This window comes from Homo sapiens, chromosome 2 (assembly GCF_000001405.40).
Source record: "Homo sapiens chromosome 2, GRCh38.p14 Primary Assembly".
Lineage (NCBI taxonomy): Eukaryota > Metazoa > Chordata > Mammalia > Primates > Hominidae > Homo > Homo sapiens.
Window position 1 is genome coordinate 167,392,617 of NC_000002.12, and position 24,460 is coordinate 167,417,076.

At 35.9% G+C, this 24,460-nt stretch overlaps 1 protein-coding gene across 2 annotated transcripts in view, besides 1 other annotated feature; it reads left to right on the forward strand.

The window, feature by feature from the left end:
- The window catches only part of B3GALT1 (beta-1,3-galactosyltransferase 1), a 581,045-nt gene that overhangs the window by 99,616 nt on the left and 456,969 nt on the right, over positions 1-24,460 (forward strand). The window lies entirely within an intron of this gene.
- Positions 13,362-13,915: an enhancer, noted in NCBI's record as "NANOG-H3K27ac hESC enhancer chr2:168262488-168263041 (GRCh37/hg19 assembly coordinates)". NCBI's record gives its function as "activates a minimal SCP1, AML or CMV promoter by ChIP-STARR-seq in primed H9 embryonic stem cells {active_cell/tissue: H9 hESC(primed)}" and the evidence as "EXISTENCE:reporter gene assay evidence [ECO:0000049][PMID:30033119]".

Consider the following 24,460-nt stretch of genomic DNA (forward strand, 5'->3'; position numbering starts at 1 on the left):
TATCTTTTAAATCAAGTAAAAATAATTAAGATTACTTGTCTAATAAATATTTTTAGGTAGCTACTCTGGCTCAAACTTCAGTGTTTTTGGGGAAAAAACCCATAAATTATCACAAAAGAAGATTAAAACTTAAAGACAATAGCAGAAACAGTGTTTTAGTACATTTATTTGACTTATATTATAATTTATTTTAATTTACATAAATCATTCATGCCAAGAACAATCTATAATCCATATGATATTGATGGATGTATCATAACACACTCTCCTCTAGAACGAACACTTGTGAAAAAGCCGTACGTTTCTGGGCTAAAAGTGTACCATTAAGAAATGTTTAGCCGGGCGCAGTGGCTCACACCTGTAATCCCAGCACTTTGGGAGGCCGAGGCGGGTGGATCACGAAGTCAGCAGATCAAGACCATCCTGGCTAACACGGTGAAACCCCGTCTCTACTAAAAATACAAAAAATTAGCCAGACGTGGTGGTGGGTGCCTGTAGTCCCAGCTGCTTGGGAGGCTGAGGCAGGAGAATGGCGTGAACCCGGGAGGCGGAGCTTGCAGTGAGCCGAGATTGCGCCACTGCACTCCAGCCTGGGCGACAGAGCGAGACTCCGTCTCAAAAGAAAAAAAAAAAAAAGAAATGTTTATGTTGTTGGTGAGTTTTTTTTTTTTTAATTATATAGTCACGCCTGTGATCTAGTGGAAACTATCTTAAGCACCAAGGTTCATTAAAGTAGATTTGGGCAACACCAAGATACTCAAGAGCAGGGAGAGTGTGGATGCTAAGAGGAGGGATTCTGGGGTTAGGAAAGGACCCTGAAAGCAACATGGATCTCATTTTGTTTCTCCCCTAACAGGAAAACAGTGTGAAACAAAGACATATTAGAAAACGAAACAGCTAATATCAATCTGCATTCCCTTATTTCTTTTTAACAAAATAAGTACAATTGTATAAATACTTTTTAAAAAGGTAAATTATGACAACAATTTAAATTTCTACATTCCTCCTTTTAAAAATAGGGTTTATTCTCAGTAAAGATGATCTGTTTTCAATAATAACCTTTTGGAATTTCATCTCAATTCAATCTTTTGACATAGTATGGTAGTTTTGTTTCAACTGCAGGCTTTTATATGTCACCTCTTAATACTTATCACACAGGGCAAGAGTTAAAGGCAATAAATGGACCTGTACATGCATCATGTTTTAAAGCCCTTATCCACTTGTCTGACTTTGCTCTGACTTATCCAAAAGTGGACATGGAGCAAGCAATATTGTCTTTCATCATTATATTTAAATATAACAATTTAATTTTTACAATGTATTACTCTGCATACATCATACAGAGCTAGCTTGTTGAATTAGAGGTGAGGATGGCTCACATTGCAGAAACGTCTCAATTTTGTTCCAGTTACCAGAGTTCTTATCTAAAATAAGTAAGCCATTCTTCATATTTAATTTTAGCTGTGAAATTAATCCAAAGTATGTAGCAAAACACATTGCTGCCTTAGTGTATACCTTTTAACAATGAAATGTCCATCCACCTCTGAGTTATGAAGATTTTTGATGAAGTTCTATAAAACACAAATTTCTGATAAAAAACTTAAAACCAATTATGCCTTCTACTGATTTAAACATTCACAGTTTTAGGTCAAACACTCTTCGTTTTCTATATCTATACAGAAGAGTTTTGACAGTTCTAAATTATATCTGTCATTACAAAAATCAGATTATCTCAAAGTAATCATTGCATTTAACTCAGAAACAAAACTGTCCTAACCAAATTTCCACTACACAATGTACTGTGCTGTATTTCTAAAATACAATTATCTATTGTAGCAACAGGATATATTTATATATTGTTCCAGATGTGTACATGATATTTTGATGCTACAGCTTTGATGCAACCCTAATAAAGGGTTGTTTTTTTTTATGTTGGGGATCCTTTGAAGCCATCTTTTTACTAGGAGCAATTTGATGTGGGAGCATTTTAATACAACTTAAAAAGCATTATTTTCCATATTTCGTAACTAAGCGATAGGCAAAATAGGCATTTTCTCTCCATCCCTGAGGCACACTCCACTCAATGCTCCCAAAGGAAGGTGGAAATGAAGTGTTTTATGGGTGGAAGAAGAGACCAGAAGACAAAATTGTAGAACACAGAATATTATTCTCAGGCATTGAAACCTAATAGAGTTTGTCCAGTTGGAAGTGAAATTACTTAGAGCCAGGGATTCCTTTTTTCTTTCTGTCTTCCTCCCTTTGGAATGAGAATGTCTGTATCTGTTATCTTATGCGTTCCACCATTGTGCTTTGGGAACAGATAATTTATTTTCTAATTTCACAAGTTCATAAATGGAGGAAGAATTTTGCCCCTGGATGTCGCTTACCTACAGTCTCACCTGCACCTAATTTATATGATTTAGATGACATTTGGGACTTTTGAGTTGATAATATTAGAGGATTTTTATTTTAAATTGATGCTGTGATGGGTTGAGACTTTAAGGGGTAGGTATTAAGATGGGTGAATGCATTTTGCACGTGAGATGGATATAAATCTTTGAGGGCCAGCAGGTGGTTGAATAATGGCTCTTCAGACATGTTCATGTTCTAGATCCTGAAACCTGTGGTTACTTTATAAGGCTAAAGGAACTATCAAAAGTGATCAAGTTAAGGAACTTGAGATGTAGAGATTACCCTGGATTGTCTGGGTGGGCCTGATGCAATCACAGTGGCCTATACAAAGAGGCACAGGAGGAGTCAGAGTTAGAGTAGAAAGTGACATGATGATGGAGATTAGAATAATATGTTTAGAAGATGGAGAAAAGAACCATAAGCCAAGGAATACAATGGCTCCTAGTAGCTGGAAAAGGCAAGGAAACTGAACCCTCCCCAGAACCTCCAGAAAGAATACAGCCCTGCTGACATCTCAATTTCAGCCCAAAGAAACCGATTTCAGACATCTGACTTCCAGAATTCTAAGATAATAAATTTGTGTTGTTTTAAGCTACTAAGTGTGGGTAACATTTCAAGCTGCTAAGTGTGGGTAACGTTTTACAGCAGCAATGAGAAATTAATACAAGGTGTCTACATGAAACTGCTTTATAATGATGAATTCTGGTAGAAAACAGATGCTTCCTTGGATATTCAAGAAGATAATTCATACTTCTTGAAAAAAAAATCAAATACAAAAATAAAACTCTTTGTAATGGGGATGGGAGTTGGAGATGAAGTAAAGGTGAGGAATGTTTATTACATACATTGCTGGTTAATAACTAAGAGGAATTTCACAGTTTGACAATATTGTTTTGACTTTTATCCAAAAAACTACACCAATAACCATTTTCATCTTGGTTTTCCTGGATATTTTCTCACTGGTGCCCCTACCCTCACCCCTCCAGAGAATTTTAAAATAGACCTGCAGAGACTCTTCTGAAGGTTAAATGAAGTTCAAGGGCTTCAATTCTTAGTTTCCCTGCTGAGACAAAAGATACACTAATTAATGGCTTTTAAGAAGACTTGGCTTTACTGGAAATACAACCAAATAATTCCTCTGAAGAGCTTATATCTAATTGCTATTTTGCATAATTTGATTTGAATTTCTCATGGGAAACCGTTGAATGGAAACAGAGCTGATTATGAATCCAAAAGTTTTTTCATCTTAAGTTTATCATGCTATTTAGGCAGTATGTCATTTATAAATTTTCTTTGGCAACACACTTCCTGTTTTGCTGTCCTCTATGTGTAGGAATGCTTAGTAAATAGAGTGAGCCTTTGGGGAATAGAGGGCTTGTTTCATTAAGTAGAATAAAATCTTTACTATTTAGAACTCTCAAAAAAGTAATTTTTTTAGATTGAAACATTTTCCGAATAGAATTATTTTCTTTTAATCAAAAGTCTGCAAATATATATATATATATATGTGTGTGTGTGTGTGTGTGTGTGTGTGTGTTTAATTTTAAACATTTGGATGGAAAGGTTTATAATATATAAATTATATTTATTTTTGAATTTGAAACAATATATAAAATAAAACTTAGCCTTTACCCATTGATACTGTATTAACATGAGACATCAACACAGAAGAGCCCAGTGCCTGCTGAGATGTGTAAGACCTAAGTGTACATGAAGCCCAGGACATGACCAAGAAGAGCCACAGACAAGGTGGTAGTATTTCCAAAAACTAATGCAAAAAGTATAATACTATCCCTCACACAGTTTAGGGAAAGGAAAAACAACTTGTCCTGTTATTACCAAGCGAAGAAGGTCCTCATAAAAATGGCATGCTCTAATGCAATGAACAAAGTTCTCAACAGCATCCTTGTGGTATTACTACAATTATTTAAGAGAAGTTTTTCAAATAAAGAGCCTTCAGACTGGCTAATGTAATAAAATTTGAATGAAACAATCTCAAGCAGAATCTGCCAAGTCTTCAAATCCAACTTCTCGTAAAAGTTTGTGAAATTGTACCCTTTGAAAGGCAGTATGGCTTTCAGAGAAAGATTTATATTTCTTATATACTCTTAGGTGAAATCTGCTTTTTGTATGATTGATGATCTCTTATTCTGCTTGAAATTCCTTCCTTCATTCATTCATTCTTCCCTCTCTCTCCTTCCTTTCTTCCCTCCTTTCCATTTTCCCTCCTTTGCTTCCTTTTTTCTTTCTTCCCTTCTATTCCTTTTTTTTCCACCTCTTCTTCCTTTTTAAAATTTCTTTTTAGATTCCTTTGAATCCAAAATGCTGAGCCCATTTTTCCTGAGGCAAATATGAGGAAAACTATTTTTAAATAATTCTCAAATCTTTGAAAAAGTGAAAGGAGAATCTTCTTTCTCTCAACTCAGAAGGCACTGTATTGAAATGTTAATATAGAAAACCTCTTGGCACATTCTGTTCTCACTGGCCCTCTAGTTCTACTGACCAACCCTGAATGTAAACAGATTCTTGGACACTGGGGGAATGGAAGAGAATTAAGGGAGAGTGATCATTTTCTACTCAAATGTTTTATATTGCATATGTAACAAACGAATTATTAAGAAATCTATTGGTGTCCTGTCCTTTCTTGACATTATAGAATAATCACCTAAAGAATGAAAAGCTTTTTCCCCTGTATACCTCTGTGTTCTCAGGTTCTGAATTTTCTTGTCCTGTGAGTAGATCGGGCTAACCCTTATTCCACCTAAGAACATCATCATCAATTAAAGACAACAGAACTATGAACAGAATTCTGTCTCCACCATTCCCAGGCAGTGTAATTCAAGCTGCTGCCAGAACCTAAGAAAGAAGGCAAGAAGTGCCAAGATAGGACATTTTGTTCAGCTAGGTGAATGACTTCAGCCAGCCCTGGATTTGACTTGATTGGTAGAAAAGCAAAGTAATATGACATTGCTTGCACCTCAAGTGTTGTGGAGCAATTAATCTTTGTTACCGTACAAAATAATAGCATGAAACATTTTTATATGCCCCTGAATTTTAAATCCTATTCACTGGCCTATATCTTATTATATATAAATGCTTTATTCTTTAACTTGAACAAAGTTTTTGTTTCAGTCTCTCAGGATATAATCAAGATTAGTTCATGCTAGTACTGGAGTTAGTGGTTATGCAATTAATTGGATCAGGATCCAAGGAAAGACCAAAAAGCTTTGTTTTTCATACTGTCAGTCTAGGTCTAGTGATTACAAATTCCATTAGGTAATGAGAAACAATATTTGATTTGTTTTTGCCCCTTTCTAGTCTTTTCTCTCTCCCTTCCTTCTTCCCTTCATTGATAGTGCTATCCCTCTATCTCTACCGTTTTCTTTATTTTTATCTCTATTGCTATCTCTCTATTCTCCAACATTTTTAAAATGATAATAGCTAATAGGTCATCTTTATTGAGTGTTTAATGTGTGCCAGGTGTAAATCTTACATTCATGACTCTTACTTAGATTTAGAGGAAAGGTAAAATGAAGAACAAAGCCATTGTATGTTAAAATGTTATGAAAGACACATTTTGATATACATTTTAAAGTGTTAACAGTTCATGAGAGGAATACCCACCAAGGATATTTATGAGAGAATCCACTGAGGTATAATAGGTCTGACTAGACTTAACTGCTCAGAGTATCATTCACTGAACCACTCATTTAATTTATCCCTCCCTTAAGCATGTCTTAGGTGCCCACTATATATCAGGAGTTGGACCAATAGTTGTAGCTACAAAGCAAGGGAAACTTAGTTCTCATCCACCACAACCTGCCAGTGTCCTATAGAGTGTCTTGCATTTCTGTGATGAAGCTCAGTCTTTAGGGATCTCGGTTCTGATGCCAGTATATTTAATGCCAAGGTGACATCTGTCAGCACAGACCTCATATGCCAAGACCTTACTGACTGAAAATAATCCACAGGGTTCACAGCAGTTTGAGCAGTTCTAGATATGGCAAACTGCCATGGCCATGTCTGTCTGGCAGAAACATTTTTACAGCCATTACAGGGCAGCTTCTCATTTAATTGAGATGCCTTGGATAGCAGTGGTGCAGGTGGCTTCATTAGGTGCGTGATAGAATGCAGTTTGCTGCAGCCTTCTGAAATCCTAGGAACATGTGAACCAACAGGAGCAGTACATACCAATAATTGAGTTAGAAGCCTCCGACTAGAAAACATCTTCAAAACATGTGTCAAGTTTCCCTTAGAATGCATGCACTGTGTTATGTTTCTTAGAGCTCAGAATAGTTGTTAATTTATAGGATGAATAGAAATGAATTGGATAAAATTTAAATTTAAATTATTCTGTAAAATATAATTACAGCCAGTGTAAGTGTAATGTAATAACACCTGTGTCACTAGAAAGTGTATTTTTAGCATCAAGTCCAGATGGCTTACACTCATTCTCTCTTCATTCTTTTTTCTTTTACATCCAGTGATTTAAAGTCATGACATGTTATAATTTAGCATTTATTGTATTGCTTTCAATTCTTCCCAAGTTTTTTATTTTTGTTTTTTTCTGATTCATAGAAGCAGCATATTCCTTTACCTATTCTTCACATTTTTCATTTTTTCAATTATATAGCAAATCCCCTTTGCTCCCAATGAGATCTCTCCTACACTCCTTTATCTCCTACTTGAGTATGAATAGTTTGTTTTCTGGGCATGCTGTAAAGTTGTCATTATAAGACTTCTCTTAACTTTACTTCTGTGTTGGAGACACTATTTTCTGGGATTTTATATTTTCTTCTGTCTTGTTTTTACCCTCATTTTGCTAGGGTATATCCTTAAGTTGCTTTCTCAGAAGGAGGAATTAAAGACTAAAAAAGTAAAAGTCTGATAGTTGCATGCCAGAATGTGTCTTTATTGTGCTCTTATTGTTGCTTAATAACTTTATGAAACATAAAATTCTAAATCTAAATTATTATCCTTTAAAACTTGAACATATCACTTCAGTATTATGTAGTATTTACTTTTGCTCATTAGAAGTCTGATTCCAGAGTGAAAGGTTCTATTACAAATGATCTGATTTTTAGTCTCTGTAAGATTTTCTCTTTCTTCTTGGAGTTATGAAATTTTACATCTATGTCTGTGTGTGTGTGTGTGTGTGTGTGTGTCTGTGTGTGTGTATGTGTGTTAGAACAGGCCTTTCCTCATTCATTCTGCTCGAAGCTAGGTGAGCCATTTCAATCTAAGGACTTGTTTTCTTCAGTAATGTGCAATTTTTTGGTCACATCTTTGATAATTTCTTCCCCTTTTATTTCCTCTGTCTTCCTTTTCCTAAAATCTTTTTAGTCAGATCTCAGATCTCCTGAATAAATTCTATTCATTTTTATATTTTGCTCATATTTTCCATCTTCTTTTGTATTTTGATATAAATTATTCCATTATGTTTTATCCATCAGCACATCTCTGTCTATTTCCTATCTGCTTTGCCAGCTGAATCTCTGTTAGACTTTTTCAATAGGGAGTACTATGGGTTCCTATACCATGCCTAGACCCTGAAGATACATTAACTTGCAGAAATTTGTTGCAGACTCATTCACTGAAGATCTCCCTCTCAATTCTGTTTTATTCACTGTTGTAGACTTAAACTTTTCCTTGTGCATCTTCACTGCCAATTCAGCGGGATTTGGAAAGGGCTGGAGGGAAAACCTGTGTGACAATTTGGCCATCTTGAACTGAACAGGAGGCACATTTTTAATAGCTTAATTGGGTGAATAGCTTACTAGAAAATCTGGCTTTGTGTAGGAAATGTATCCCAAAAGACTGCATTCACAGACAGGAAACAGAAACTGCAACCTAAACTTCCACAGACAAGAATGAAATAGGAAATTATTATACTCAGTCCAATAGCGGGAACTTCAAACAGACAGCTTCGGCTGTCTACTTTTTAGTCCCCTTTTTCTCTGCTCAGATATGTAATCAGCTTAATTGAGTAGGCAGGTCTTAATTGAGTAGGCAGATGATATAGTTAGAAATCATCATTATTTTTATCTTCTACTTTCCCCTTAATCTGCTTGGGGAGGGACTGTACATTCTTGCCTCTGGAAAAGCCTATGACAAACCAATAGTCACTTTAAATTACCAGAGAGTCTCAATTAAGTAATTAAAATAGTTTGATCACAGATAGAATAAAAAATTCTGAATTTTATTTGAAATTAACCTTCCGTCTTTCCTTGTCCCTCTTCCTTCAGCAGGATAACCTAAATTTTCAGCTCAATTGGAGTTTGAAGAAAGCAAGAGAATGATAGTCTTGGATTCTCTGAGTTTAGCAGATGTTTGAAACTGACTCTCTCAATGGAAACTTTTGTGAATTCTGTGTAGAGTTCCACATTGGGTCCTTCTGTCTTCAACTGCCTTGAGATAGGCAGTGTTTCTCCTTTGCCAGACTTCTCCTGAGCTCCCTACAGTGTAATATACAGGCTCTTACCCTTGGGGTCCTCTTTCCCTAGCAGGCTGCCTTCTTTAACAAGACCTTTTTCACAATGACCCTCACTAATTCACTGCATCCCCAACTACAGGAGATCCATATCAAGTTCTCTGAGTTATCCCATAGAATTCTCTGTCACTTTTGTTTGGGATTAGAAGTCTCAGCTCTATTCTCTTCAAAGAAATCCTTCTTTAAAATTTCAGCAGTCATGATGATCTCTCTCAGAATCCTCTTTGGCCAGCATCAGCTATGGCCTTCAAGCCTCAGCCAAAACCGTGAAGGGAAGAGTCACATTTTAACAGCCTGTTATGTACAGGCTAATACTTCTTAGGACACAGTATTGAGGACAAGTTTGAATTGCTTTTGGGAAATTCTGTTAACTAAGGAAGATTATTTAGGCTTGAATGCCGTAACTGGAGTAGAAGCTCATTAAAACAAGAAATTAAATGGAAATGAATGGGTTGTTGCCAATAAATGGTTTGAGACAGTCCCTAATTTTGAAATAAAAGGTTCTGAGTGAGCACTAAGAATGGACTAGCTTTTAAGAAATTCAGATGGCATAAATTTGAGTAAGAATTGGTTGGGTCAAATTAAATAATAACAATATTATAGATAATTTCATTAAGGGAGCTAAATGTTAAAATAACTACTAATGTTATGATAAAATAATTTTAATTTCTAAAGAGAGTTCATAAAGGACAATGTTTGATTTTGATCTTCATGAATAGTGGAAAGTCATCAACTTAAAAATAATAGCGTGTCATCAATTAAAAAAATTTAGAGTAATATTTCTAATAAAAAAAGTTTTAGTTTGTCTTATGTGGCAGAACACCATATTTTTTTAAGTCAAAATACCTATCAAATAAAGTGGAATCTGGAAACATGCATTTAAGCAAGATGATTTGTAAGCTTAGTAAATTCTGAAAAACTACTCTCTGATAGAATAGCTAAGTGAACCTCTACTCTGGTCTCAATTATGAGAAATTGGTTGCAAGTTAATAGCTAAATATCTACTAAGGCTTATTGTGCACTAGGTACTTTCTTAGTTATGAAGGTTTTTTAATTAAATTAGTCTTCACAAAATACCTAGGAGGTAGGTATTATTATTTTCATTTTATACATAAATAAATAAGGCATAGGGAGTTAAATAACTCTATGATAATACAACCAGTAAGCAGCAAACTTAAATCTCAAGTCATCTGGCATCAGAGCTCTGCTTTTAATAATTAGGCTGTTGGAAGTGACCAGACTTTTGTGAAAAAATGGAAGTTATCATGGTGTCAGATTTCTGAAGTTCCTGAGTTAGTCATGTTTCCATGGCATTAAATTTTGAAAGATGATTTGAAGAGGATAGGAATGTTTCAATAATGCAATCCTGATCGTTCAATTAAAATTCAAAACTTTTAAACAAGCATAATGCAGAATAATAGGAGGACACTCCCATCCCCACTCCCCCACCCCCGATTGCATTCACCTCTAAATAATGAGCAAGATTTGGCTAAAGAGCACCATGTTTGTTTATTTATTTTTATTATACTTTAAGTTCTAGGGTACATGTGCACAACGTGCAGGTTGCATAGGTAGACATGTGCCATGTTGGTTTGCTGCCCCCATCAACTCATCATTTACATTAGGCATATCTCCTAATGCTATCCCTCCCCCCTCCCCCCACCCCACTACAGGCCCCGGTGTGTGATGTTCCCCATCTTGTGTCCAAATGTTCTTATTGTTCAATTCCCACCTGTGAGTGAGAACTTGCGGTGTTTGGTTTTTTGTCCTTGCAATAGTTTGCTGAGAATGATGATTTCCAGCTTCATCCATGTCCCTTCAAAGGACATGAACTTATCCCTTTTTATGACTTCTTAGTATCCCATGGTGTGTATGTGCCACGTTTTCTTAATCCAGTCTATCATTGATGGGCATTTGGATTGGTTCCAAGTCTTTGCTATTGTGAATAGTGCTGCAATAAACATACGTGCAGAGCACCATGTTTAAAAAAAAAAAGACTCAGAGTTTTGGTTTGTACAGATATGGTTTTGGTTGACTTAGTGTGAGGCCAAAGAGTTATCTGGTCAATATTATGATTTGCATAATCTGATGATGGCATGAGGAGTAGTGGCAAAACACAAGGGAAGGGAAGCCCTGCTCTAATCTGCACTGATATGGCTAGACTGGAGTACTGCGCACAATTACTGACAAACTGGGATATTCATAAAGGAGACAACTCTATACAACTCTATAGGGAAAGAACCTGAAATAAGGTTGGTGAGGAATAGTTGACTATTATCATGGAAAGGGAAGGGAAGGAAAAGGGAGGACATGATCTTTAAAAATAGTGTGAATGTTAAGGCCTGATCTTGAAAAGGGACTAGGGTTAGGTTTTGTTTGTTTGGCTCCCAAGAAGCAAGGACAGATGCATATAAATAAAAGGTTTCAGGTCAATATAAGAAAGTTGTGTTAGTATGTTTGTGTTGCTGTAAAGGAATACCCAGGGCTGAGTAATTGTGAAGAAGAGAGGTTTATTTTGCTCACAGTTCTTCAGGCTGTACAAGAAGCATGGCACCAGCATCTGCTTGGTTTTTGGTAAGGGCCTCAAGCTGCTTCCACTCATGGTGGAAGGTGGAGAGCCAGTGTTTGAGAGATCACATGGCAAGAAAGGTGGCAAGGAAAAGGGGAGGCAGGTGCCAGGCTTTCAACAGGTTCCATGGGAACTAATAGAGCAAGGACTGACATTACTGCCAGGATGACACCAAGTCATTCATGAAGGATCCGCCTCCATAACCCAAACACCACCCCCCCATTAGGCCCCACCTCTTACACTGGGGATCAACATGAAGTTTGGAGGTGGTAAAACAAACCAAATGATAACAGAAATACACTGTCAAAGTCAGAGCTGACAAAAATAAAATGGACTATGTTGTGATTAGTGATTGTACTAAGCTGGAGAAAATTTCAGTTAATTAACAGGTTGTAGTGTTTTGGGCTTTGTTTCCTTTCTATTCAGTATAACTCGTTTACCTGGTACTTTTTGACTGATATGCTCAGCTTGACTAATTATTTTGAAACTGTGAAGATGCATCGCAGTCAGTATAAATATGTTCACTATAATGTAAGTCCTCTTTTCATAGTAAAATTGATGTAAGATGGCACAGTCATTCTTCATTCAGTACAGTTTGCTTGAAGACATCTCTATTAACAAGAGCGTTTTACCTTCGCCTAGATTTCAAATGCTTTGGTAATTTGTACTGTGCTTAAATAAAGCACATCCTGGCATGAAAATGAATGAATGCCTCCTGGCACTCTGTGCGTGTATTCCTCAGAGTTTATGATAATTAGGATGCTTGTTTAATTGCTGTCCCTTTATTTCCACTGGGTTGTGGCAGCTAAAGGGCAGCTTTCAAACCATGTGTGTTACATACATAGGTAATTTATAAACTCATTTTGCTGTTACGAGCACAGGAAAAAATCCCGAATGTCAATAAGCCAATGTTTTAATTATTTTATCCCCACCATTACTGCTGATTGTACATTTGTTTTCGCTTCTCAGACAGGAAGGATGGGCCTTTGAGTTACTGCCCTTAAGGATTGACTCATTTGAGCCATGATGAGTAAGCATCATATTGCTACAATAGTTTTTACATAATAAGAATTCTTGAGATTTCTAATAGGTATAGCCAGTTTATAAATGCTATTATTTAAGTATCTATAAGTATAAAGTAGCTGTCAATCACATCAGGAGCAAATATTTAATTCTATATCAGTAGTAGTAAATAATTACTATCATTTAAAAGGACTATGTTTTAATAATACTTTTAATAATCCTAAATGTGTCCAATTTATTAAATTAAGAATGTTTAAAGGATATTGAACTTCCATGTGTTGTTAATATTAACTATAACAGTGCAATAATTATTTTCCAAATGCTATTCTTCTTATAGAAATCTTTCCTTATTATAATGAACTCAGTTTCCTGGAGTGTTATTAGGTCAGAAAAGCTCAGAAATTGAGGTGATATTATTTCTTATAAGGAGATCATTTGCAAGTTTATGTTAAAGAAAATAAGAGATCAAGATAAAGAATATCTCACTGTCTTTGTTACATGTTCAGACAAAGGGTTTTCTTTGTGTATATATATATTTGAAGCTATGGAATGAATTACTCATTAGATTCCTTATGCCTTCCCTTTTCATGTGAAATGTAAAATTTTAAATATAGTACATGGTTTTATTTAATCCCATTTATCTTAAAACTTACTTTGCTTTTGGCTGTGATTTAAATTGAATTTCCCCGTAGAGAATCATGAAATAAACAAATCCAACTATTATCCAGAGAAGCTCAAAAAAGTCATAGAGAATTATATACTCTAAGGACTCAAATAGAGTTATATTCAACAAATACTATTGAATAAATGAAGTATGTAAACATGATAGATGGGTAAATAGAAGAAAATAAAAGACCAGAGAGAAATATTAGAAAATAAAGCAGCTGTTGTGTAAGGATAGATGGTATTTGGGGAAATTTTTTTTTTAAGTTTTAACATAATTGAAATATTTTAAAGTAATCATTTAAAATGGGCACCCAGTGCAATTTCTTGGTAAGTTGAAAAAACAAGTGTTTTGACCCTACTTTATACCATATGCAAAAAGCAATTCCATAGAGATTGTAGAAATAAATGTGAAGGGCAAAACAATAAAGCTTTTAAAAAGAAATTATAGGGGAAACTTTTCATGACATGGGGTTATTTTTAATCAGAATATAAAAAGCACTAGACTTCTGGTTCCAAAATGGCAGTATAGAAGCAAGCTTCATTCACTCCCCACCACAGAAATCCAGAAACAAATATAGAGCACCAGAATTTTTCACCAGCAACAACCCAGAACTCAAATATGGGATGAAACAATTCCTGGAGCCACAGAAAAGTGGAGAAACTCCAAGCAGATAGTAAAAGAATCCAGACTCCCACATCCACAATGCCCCTCCCCCAAATTCTTCCCAGCGCCAAGCACACAGGAAATCTCCCCTCAATTCACAGTTTATGTACTTGAAAAAGTGAGATTGAGATGGTCAGCCGGCTTCCCCACCTTCTTGGGTTCCCAGCAGGAGACTTGTCCTTGCTTTAACCCACAGGAATCATCATGACTGAGTGAAGGAAGAAATATCCCTGCGGACAGGCAGAGACAAAGGAGGGGGCAGGACTGACATTCCCAGCCATGGAAACTCTGTGACTCAACCAAAGGAGACACCAAATCAGACTCAGCAACACCATGCTGTCGGATGGTACATTCCACAGATACAGATCCCCTGGGGATGGACACCAACTCAGCCTTCCGATCCTGCTGGGATAATCCCTTTGAGACCTCCCCATTCAGGACTGACAGTACTTCAGTAATTTACTAGTGCTGAGGTGAAACTGGGCTTATAGTGCCAACCAGAGCTGAAAAGGAAAACATTGGAGTTTAAACGACATACCCTATCTAATAGGCCAAACTGGCATTTATGGAACATTTCAACCCACTGCCACAGAATACATGTTATTTTCATTAGCAAATGGAACATTCTTGAGAACAGACCATATCTTAGACTACAGAACAAATCTGAATGAATTTTAAAAAATAGAAATCATATCAAGCATCTTTTCTGAACACAGTAGAACAAAACTAGAAATCAATAACAAGAGAAACCTCAGAAAATACACAAACACATGGAAATAAAACAACATACTCCTAAACAACCAGTGGGTCAATGAAGAACTCAAGAAGGAAATTAAAAAATTATTGAAACAAATGAAAATGGAAATACAACATACTAAAATCGATTGGATACAGCAAAGCAGCACTAAGAGCGAAGTTGATAGCAATAAATGCCTATATCAAAAAAGTAAAAAGACTTTAAATAAACAACCTAAGAATGCATCTCAAGGAACTAGAAAAGCAAGAACAAGCCCAGCCTATAATTAGTAGTAGGAAAGAAATAATAAAAATCAGAGCAGAAATAAATGAAATTAAGACAATACAATATAGAATATGAACAAAAAAAAGTTGTTTTATTGAAAAGGTAAAAAAAAAAATCAACAAACCTTTAGCTATGCTAAGGACAAAAGAGAGAAGACCCAAATAAATAAAATCAAAAATGAAAAAGGAGACGTAACAACTGAGACATCAGAAATACAAAGAATCATTAGACACTATTATGAACAATTATACTCCAACAAACTTGGAAACCTAGAAGTAATGCATATATTCCTGGACACATATCACTTACCAAGATTAAAACACAAAGAAACCTCAAAAAACCAATAACAAGTAACAAGATTTAAGCCATAATGTAAAGATTCTCATTAAAGAAAAGCCCAGGACCTGATTACTTCACTCCTGAATTCTACCAAACACTTAAAGAAAAACTAATGCCAATCCTACTCAAACTCTTCAAAAAAATTAAAGGTGAGGCAATACTTTAAAACTCATTTTATGAGGCCAGCATTACCCTGATAACAAAAGCAGGCAAAGACACACACACACACACACACACACACACACACACACACACACACACACACACACACAGACACACAAAACTACAGGCCAATATCACTGGTGAACGTAGACACAAAATCTTCAACAAAATGCTAGCAAACTAAACTCAACACATTAGAAAGATTATTCATCATAACAAAGAGGGATTCATCCAGGGATGCAAGGATGGTTCAAAATACACAAATCAATAAATGCAATATATCACATTAACAGAATCAGAAAAACCTTATGATTATTTGAATAGATGCTGAAAAAGCATTTGATAAAATTCAGCATCCCTTATTACAAAAAGCCTCATCAAAATGGGTATTGAAGGAACATACCTCAAAATAATAAGGGCCATATGTGACAAACCCACTGCTAACATCATACTGAACAGGAAAGTATTGAAGACCTCTCCTCAAAGGAGATGAACAGGACAAGGATGCCCAGTTTCACTATTTTTATTGAACATACTACTGGAACTGCTGGCCAGAGCAATTAGTCAAGATAAAGAAATGAAGGATATCCAAATTGGAAAGGAAGTTAAACCTAGAAAAACCCACCTAAAGACTGCAACATAAAAAACTGTTAGAACTAATAAATGGATTTAGTAAAGATACAGGATACAAAATTAACATACAAAAATCAGTAACACTTATATATGGCCAACAGCAAACAATCAGAAAAAAATCGAGAAACCAAGCCCATTTCCAATAGCTACAAAAATATGAAATACCTAGAAACCAATCTAACCAAAGAAGTGAAGATGTATACAAAAAAAAAAAAAAACAAAAGACAAACAAAAAAAAAACACTGTGCAGCTCTGTTTAAAGAAATTGAAGAAGACACACACACAAAATGGAAAGATATTGCATGTTCATGGGTTGGAAGAATTAATATTGTGAAAATGGGCAATACCAGCCAAAGCAATTTACAGATTCAGTGCATTCTCTATCCAAATACCAATGACATTATTTACAGAAATAGAAAAAGAAACTCCTAAAATTTATCTGGAAGCACAAAAGATCCAAAAGAGCCAAAACAATCTTGAGCAAAAAGACTAAATCTAGAGACATCCCCATACTTCAGTTTGTTTTAGGTAAATATAAAACTGCTCTTTGTAGGTAACCTGACCTTTCTCTCTGGCTGTTCTTAACATGTTTTCCTTCATTTCAACCTTGGAGAATCTGACAATTATGTGTCTTGGGGTTGCTCTTCTCAAGTACTATCTTACTGGTGTTCTCTATATTTCCTGAATTTGAATGTTGGCCTGTCTTGCTAGGTTGGGGAAGTTCTCCTGGATAATGTTCTGAAGTGTGTTTTCCAACTTGATTCTATTCTCCCTGTCACTTTCAGGTACGCCAATTAATCATAGGTTTGGTCTTTTAACATAGTCCCATATTTCTTGGAGGCTTTGTTCATTCATTTTCATTCTTGTTTCTCTAATCTTGTCTTCGCACCATATTTCAGTAAGTTGATCTTCAAATTCTGATATCCTTTCTTCTGCTTGATTGATTTGGCTGTTGATACTTGTGTATGCTTCACTAATTTCTTGTGCTGTGTTTTTCAGCTCCATCAGGTCAGTTAGGTTCTTCTCTAAGCTGGTTATTCTAGTTAGCAGTTCCTGTAACCTTTTATCAAGGTTCTTAGCTTCCTTGCATTGGGTTAGAACATGCCCCTTTAGCACAGAGTTGTTTGTTGAGATACCATCTCATGCCAGTTAGAATGGCGATCATTAAAAGTCAGGAAACAACAGATGCTGGCGAAGGTGTGGAGAAATAGGAACGCTTCTACACTCTTGGTGGGAGTGTAAATTAGTTCAACCATTGTGGAAGACAGTGTGGCGATTTCTCAAGGATCTAGAACCAGAAATACCATTTGACCCAGCAATCCCGTTACTGGGTATATACCCAAAGGATGATAAATCATTCTACCATAAAGACATATGCACATGTATATTTATTGCAGCACTATTTACAATAGCAAAGACTTGGAACCATCCCAAATGCCCATCAATGATAGACTGGATGAAGAAAATGTGGCACATATACACATGGAATACTATGCAGCCATAACAAAGAATGAGTTCATGTCCTTTGCAGGGACATGGATGAACCTGGAAACCATCATTCTCAGCAAACTAACACAGGAACAGGAAACCAAACACCCATTCTTCTCACTCATAAGTGGGAGTTGTGGCCGGGTGCGGTGGCTCACACGTGTAATCCCAGCACTTTGGGAGGCCGAGGTGAGTGGATCACGAGGTCAAGAGATCAAGACCATGGTGAAATCCCATCTCTACTAAAAATACAAAAAATGAGACAGGCGCAGTGGCAGACGCCTGTAGTCACAGCTACTCGGGAGGCTGAGGCAAGAGAATGGTGTGAACCTGGGAGGCGGAGCTTGCAGTGAGCCGAGATCGCGCCACTGCACTCCAGCCTGGGCGACAGAGCGAGACTCCATCTCAAAAAAAAAAAAAAAAAAAAAAGTGGGAGTTCAACAATGAGAACACATGGACACAACACAGGGAGAGGAATATCACACACTGGGGCCTGTCAGGGGCTGGGGGGCAAGTGGAGGGAGAGCATTAGGACAAATACCTAATGCATACGGGCTTAAAACCTAGATGATGGGTTGATGGGTGCAGCAAACCACCATGGCACATATATACCTATGTAACAAGCCTGCATATTCTGCACGTGTATCCCAGAACTTAAAGTAAAAAAATAAAATAAAATAAATAGCTCCAAAAGCACAGAACTATGAGGCTTTTTGGCAAAGGGGCATGCAAATTATACTCCCCCAAAATGTCCTTGTATAATTGTGGTTCTTATACAGGTCATTAAGATTGACCTTGTGTAAGTGTCACTTATGACCTCTTAGGTCATAAAATGAGGTTCTTAATAGACCTAACAGAAAATGTTGATGCTATACAAATGTATTTTACCTTAAGAAAAAGGAGCATATATCAAATAATTTTATAAAGATACCCATACAAAATAAAGTTTGAATCAAAAAATGTATATAAACCTGCTCTAAAAATGTCTACACAAGTGTTACAAAAAAAAAAAGTTGATTGAGGAAACATTCCAGAACATTGGTCTAAACAAAGATTTTATGGAGAAGACCTCAAAAAAATTACAGGGAACCAGAGCAAAAATAGACAAATGGGATTACATCAAGCTAAAAATCTTCTGTATAACAACAACAACAACAACAACAACAACAAAAATCAACAAAGTGAAAAGACCACTTACAGAATGGGAGAAAATATTTGTAAACTATCCATCTGAGAAGGCATTAATAACCAGAATATGTAAGAAGCTCAAACAACTCAATAGCAAACAAAAAACCAAAAAAAAAAAAAAAAAAAAACCACACAAATAATTTGAGTTTAAAATTGGCAAAAGATCTGAACAGGCATTTCTCAAAATAAGACAGACAAATGGCCAATAGGTATATGAAAAAATGTTCAACATCATTAATCCTGAAATATCATCTCACCCCAGTTAAGACTGCTTGTATCAATAGACAGGCAATGACATCTGCTGGTGAGGTTGTAGAAAAGGGGAACCCTCATACACTGTTGGTGGGAATGTAAATTAGTACAGCTACTATCAACTGTATGGATGTTCCTCAAAAAGTTAAAAATAGAACTACCATATTATCCAGCAATCACAGTACTAGGCATATATCTAAAAGAAAGGAAATTAGTATATCAAAGAAATACCTGCACTTCCATGTTTATTGTAGCACTATTCACTGAAATATGGAATCAACCTAAGTGCTCATCAATAGATGAATGGATAAAGAAAATGTATATATACAGAATGGAATGTTATGCAGCCATAAAACAAATGAAATACTGTCATTTGCAGCAACATGGATGGAACTGGAGGCCATTATATTAAACGAAATAAATTAGGTACAGAAAGACAAATATTGCATGTTCTCACTCGTGTAGGAGCTAAAGTGTGGAGCTCATGAAGACAGAGTGGAATGGTGGTTACCAGAGGTCAGGAAGGGTAGGGTGTGGGGATGAAGGAGAAAAAAGGAATATAAATGTATTTATTACCACAAAAAGGTAATTAAATGGCACGGTAGAACAAATAAATAAGTAAAACATTAACCATAACAACTAAATACCTATATATTTTGAATAAAATGAATCACAATGTCTCTTTTCATCAAAAAGTCATTAAACGTGAAGAAAAGTAATAAAGAAGTAAATCGAGTTATATCATAATAACAAATTTCTATTCATCACATGACATCAAGTAGTAAAAAAGTCTAGCCAGAGAATGGAGAACATACATGCAAAACCTTTATCAAGCAAAGGACTCTCATATCTAGAATACATGAAGAATGTTCACAAATTGATAATCAAATGCAGACAATCAAATAGAGAAATGAGCAAAAGTCTGGAACAAGCATTTTGCAAAAGAGGATATACAAATAACAAATAAAAATATGACAATATATTCAACTTCATTATATAAAGAAGACTTGAATCTACAACATACCATACCAAATGACTAAGATGAAAAAGAAAGAACTTGTAAGTGTTGACAAGGATGTGAAGCCACTGAAACTTTCATTCATTGATAATGAGAGTATAAGTTGGTACAACCACTTTGGAAAACTGCTTAGAATTATTTACTAAAGTTGAACATATTGTATATTCCGTATGACCCAGAAATTACACACCTATTATAGAGACAAAATAAATGTGTACATCTCTTCATCAAATGGCATGTATAAGCATATTCATGGAATCACTAGAACTGGAAATAGCTATAAACAACTGAAATGTCTACAAATATGTTGTGGTATATTCTCATATTTGAGTACCTTACAAAAATGAAAAGAAATGGGAAATGAAATAAGACACAAACTTAATGGATCTCACCAGCACAATGTTGAACAAAAGACATTATACACAAGAATACATATTGTAATTCCATCTATTGTGATAGAAATCAGAATATCTCTTGCTGAGGGATAACGTCTAGAAGAGTAGCAGAAAGGGGCTTCTGGGATTCTGATAATATTCTATGTCTTGTTTGGATGACTGGTTACAATAATTTATTCACTTTGTGAACGTTAATTGGGTGTACAATGATTGTGTACTTGTATAGATTGTCCTGCAATAAAGCTGACAAGGAGAGAGATGGGGGGATAGAAAAAAATGGAGAACATAAGACATTATATTGATCCTTTAGATTGTACTGAGGCTATTTAATTGACCTAATATATGACCAGTTTTGTAAATGTTTATGTGTACTTAAACAGATTGTGTATTCTGCTTTGAGAGACGAAATTTCATTTATGTCTCATGATTTAAACATAACAGTGGTTGTTAAGTTATATTTTCGAGGTTTTCTTATATCACTGTATATTTTTTCTGCATGATCTATATTTTCAGAAGAGGGTATGATAAAATCCTCAATCCAATTTTTAAATTCATAAATTACTTCCTCCTATTTTGTCAGTTAATCCTATATATTTTGAAGCTGTATTGTTGAATGCATATGTATTTATAATGAATGCATTCTGTTCATCTACTGTTCATTTTTAAAGTGTATGGCATTTTTATCTCCCATTCTTTGCTTTAAATTTTATGTTTTCAAGTGTCAATATTACTACAGATTTCTTCAGGTTTATTTTCACCTGATATATCCTTTTTCATTATATTAATATCATAGTTTCCATGTCTTTTGGTTTATGTCGTTTACATATATTGTAATTGCTGTTTTATTAGGTTTTTTTCCTGTATTTTTAAGTTTCTATACTATCATTTTGCCTCAGTGTGATTAATTTTTTCTTTCTTGGAATACTTAAAGTTTTTTCTTCTTGGTTTAAAAGGAATACATTCTAATTTCACATGTTATGGTAGTTACCATATACTAAAGAGCTATGTTGAGTTTATTTACTGCAATTGATATATTTAATATATCAGTATTGTAAAGGAAAGCAGATATGTTTCCTTTCTCTATTAGGTTCATGGCTAAGGCCCCATAACAAAAGACAGATTAAAAAGACAAAAGTATACAGATTTATTTAATGCAAGTTTTACATGACATGGGGGGCCTTAATAAGGAAATGGAGACCCAGAGAAAGAAGTAAACCTGTGTATTTTTTATGCTTAGGTTTGATGAAGACTAGACAGCTGTGCAGAAGTATGAATGGAAAACCCTGAATACTATTAGTGTCTTTACTTCCTAAGAGAATACAGCAAGAGGAATGAATATTAACTTTGAATCAGGAAAACTTGTGTTTTTATCTTGACTTGGCAGTTGACTGACTATGTAATTCTGGCCAAGTGACTCTGAGATGTAAAAATTTCTATTTTGGTAATTAGTTCTAATTTATAAGGTGCAAGAAACCAATTAGGTTATAATGTTCACTTTATGGAAGTCATTTTTGTTCACTATGTGTTACATTACTGCTAAAGTACCACATAATTAACCATTTGTTCCCTTCTTGGTTCAGTGCTTTTTATAAGATCCACAATAAATTAACAGTGCTAAATCCTGTATTTCAATGCAGAAAAGTAAAGTGAACTTTCTCCAGAAAAGCCATTTATAGGAACTGTGGAATCCTAAAGAGATGAGTTATATTAAAGACACATTACATTTGAAATGAATGCATACTCAATCTTATGAACCTAGGGTAATGCCCACTGTAAACACTGTTGGAAACCTTCAATCAACAACTCTTTGATGCCACTAATAAGTTTGCAGTAATATGGATTCATTCAAATTTGCTTCCATCTTTTATCAGTATTTCACAAATATTGTGAAATATTAACAATCTCAGTAGCCGTAGGTATGATGTTTATGAGCTATATTCCCCTAACCCATGGCCCAAACTTCTGCTTTAATTCTTTAACAGATATTTTTCAAACTTAATGTACGTTAATGCTTTTCAAGTGAGAAGGAAATTCACATTTACTGAGTGTTTATTAGATGTCTTACATGCATTATCTCATTTAATTTTGTAGCAACTCGAATGAGATAGATATGTTATACCTCCTTTGCAAATAAGAAACTGCATCTCAGAGTGTGCTATGATTTGAATGTTTGTCCCCTCCAAAACTCATGTTGAAACTTAATCCCCATTGTGGCAGTACTGACAAGTGGGGCCTTGAAGAAGTCATTGGGTCCTGAAAGTGCTGCCTTCATGAATGGATTAATGGGTTACCATTGAAGTGGGACTGGTGGCTTTATAAGAAGAGGAAGAGAGACCTGAGCTAGCCTACCCAGCTCCCTCATTATATGATACCCTGAGCCATCTCAGGTCTCTGCAGGAAATCCCCACAAGTAAGAAGGCCCTCCCTGATGTGGCCCCTTGACCTTGTACTTCTTAGCTTCTATAACTGGGAGAAGTAAATTTCTTTTATTCATAAATTACCCAGTTTCAAATATTCTTTTATAAATGATGGAAAATGAGCCAAGAAAATTGGTACTGAGAAGTGGCATGTTGCTGATAATAAATACGTAAAAATGCAGAAGCAGCTTTGGAACTGGGTAATGGGCTGCAGCTACAGGAGTTTGAAGGAGCAGGCTAGAAAACACTTATATTGAGGGGAGGGCTTAGAAGATAAGAATACTAGGAAATGTTTGTAACTCCTTAGAGATTGGTTAACTAGTTGTGACCAGAATACTGATAGAAATAGGGACAGCAAAGAACGTTCTGATGAGATTTCAGATAGAACTGAGGAACAAGGTATTGGAAACTGGAGAAAAGTCCATCCTTGTTGTAAACTGGCAAAGAACTTGGCTGCATTGTGTCTGTGCCTTAGTTAGGGCTTTATGGATTGTAGAATTTAAGAGCAATGAATTAGGATATCTGATGGAACAAATACCTAAGCAGCAAACCATTCAGGCTGCTGCATGACTACTTTTAACCACTTACATTAAGCTGTGAGTTTAAAAAAAAATGACTTAAAGATGGAATTTATAATGAAAAGAGAAGCAAAAAAAAAGATTTGGAAAACTCTCGGCCTGGCCATGTAAGAAGTGAAAAAGCTTGTTCAAGAGAGGAAACCAAGTAAGTGGCTGAGCAACTTTTGCTAAGATTAGTAGAGAGAAGGAACCATCAAGGTGGTAGAAGAAGACCCTGGAAGCATTTCTGAGATCTTTGAGGCTCTCTCTTCCATCACAGGCCCAGAGGCTTAGGAGGACAGAGTGGCTTTGGGGACAGACTCAGGCCTGCTGCCCAGGGTTACCTCAGGTCTCTGCTCCCTTCATTCCAACATAGTCCTCCTCAGCCACCCCAGCTGTGGCTCAAGTGGCCTCAGACACTGAGCAGCTCACTGCTTAAGAAGATACAAGTCGTCAACCTTAGTGGCATCCATGTGCAAATTCTGTAGGCTTGCAGAAAGAAAGAGTTGTGAAGGGTTGGCAGCATTCACCCAAATGTCAAAGGATGCTGCAGAAAGCCTGGGGGCTCAGGCAGAGACTTGTCACAGGGGCAAGGCCCCCAATAAAGGGCTCCAACTAGAGCAATGCTGAGTGGAAATGCGGGGTTAGAGTTGCCACAGAGAGTCTCCACTAGGGCAATGCTGAGTGGAGCCATGGAAGCACCACTGGGACTCCAGAGCTGTAGAGTCACCAGTAGCAAGCAACATCTGCCTGGGAAAGCTTTAGACACTGGATTTCTACCTGTATGAGCTACCATGTGACTAGCATGCAGCAAAGCCATAGAGATGGGGCTACCTGAAGCCTTGGGTCCCAATTCATGCCCCAAGATAACCAGAAGGTGGAACATGAAATCAAAGGGATTATTCTCCAGCTTTAAGATTTCATGTTTATCTTTCTGGGTTTCAGATTAGCTTGCGGCCTGTTACTCCTTTCTTTTTGCCTCCTCCTTCCTTTTGGAATGAGAATGACTGTCTTAGGCCTGTACTATTATTGTATCTTGAAAGTAGATAACTTGTTTTGATTTCATAGGCTCATAGGTAAGACCGGACTTTGGACTTTTGAGTTGGTGCCGGAACAAGATAAGACTTTCAGGCTATGGGGATGGAATGAATATATTTATGTGTTAG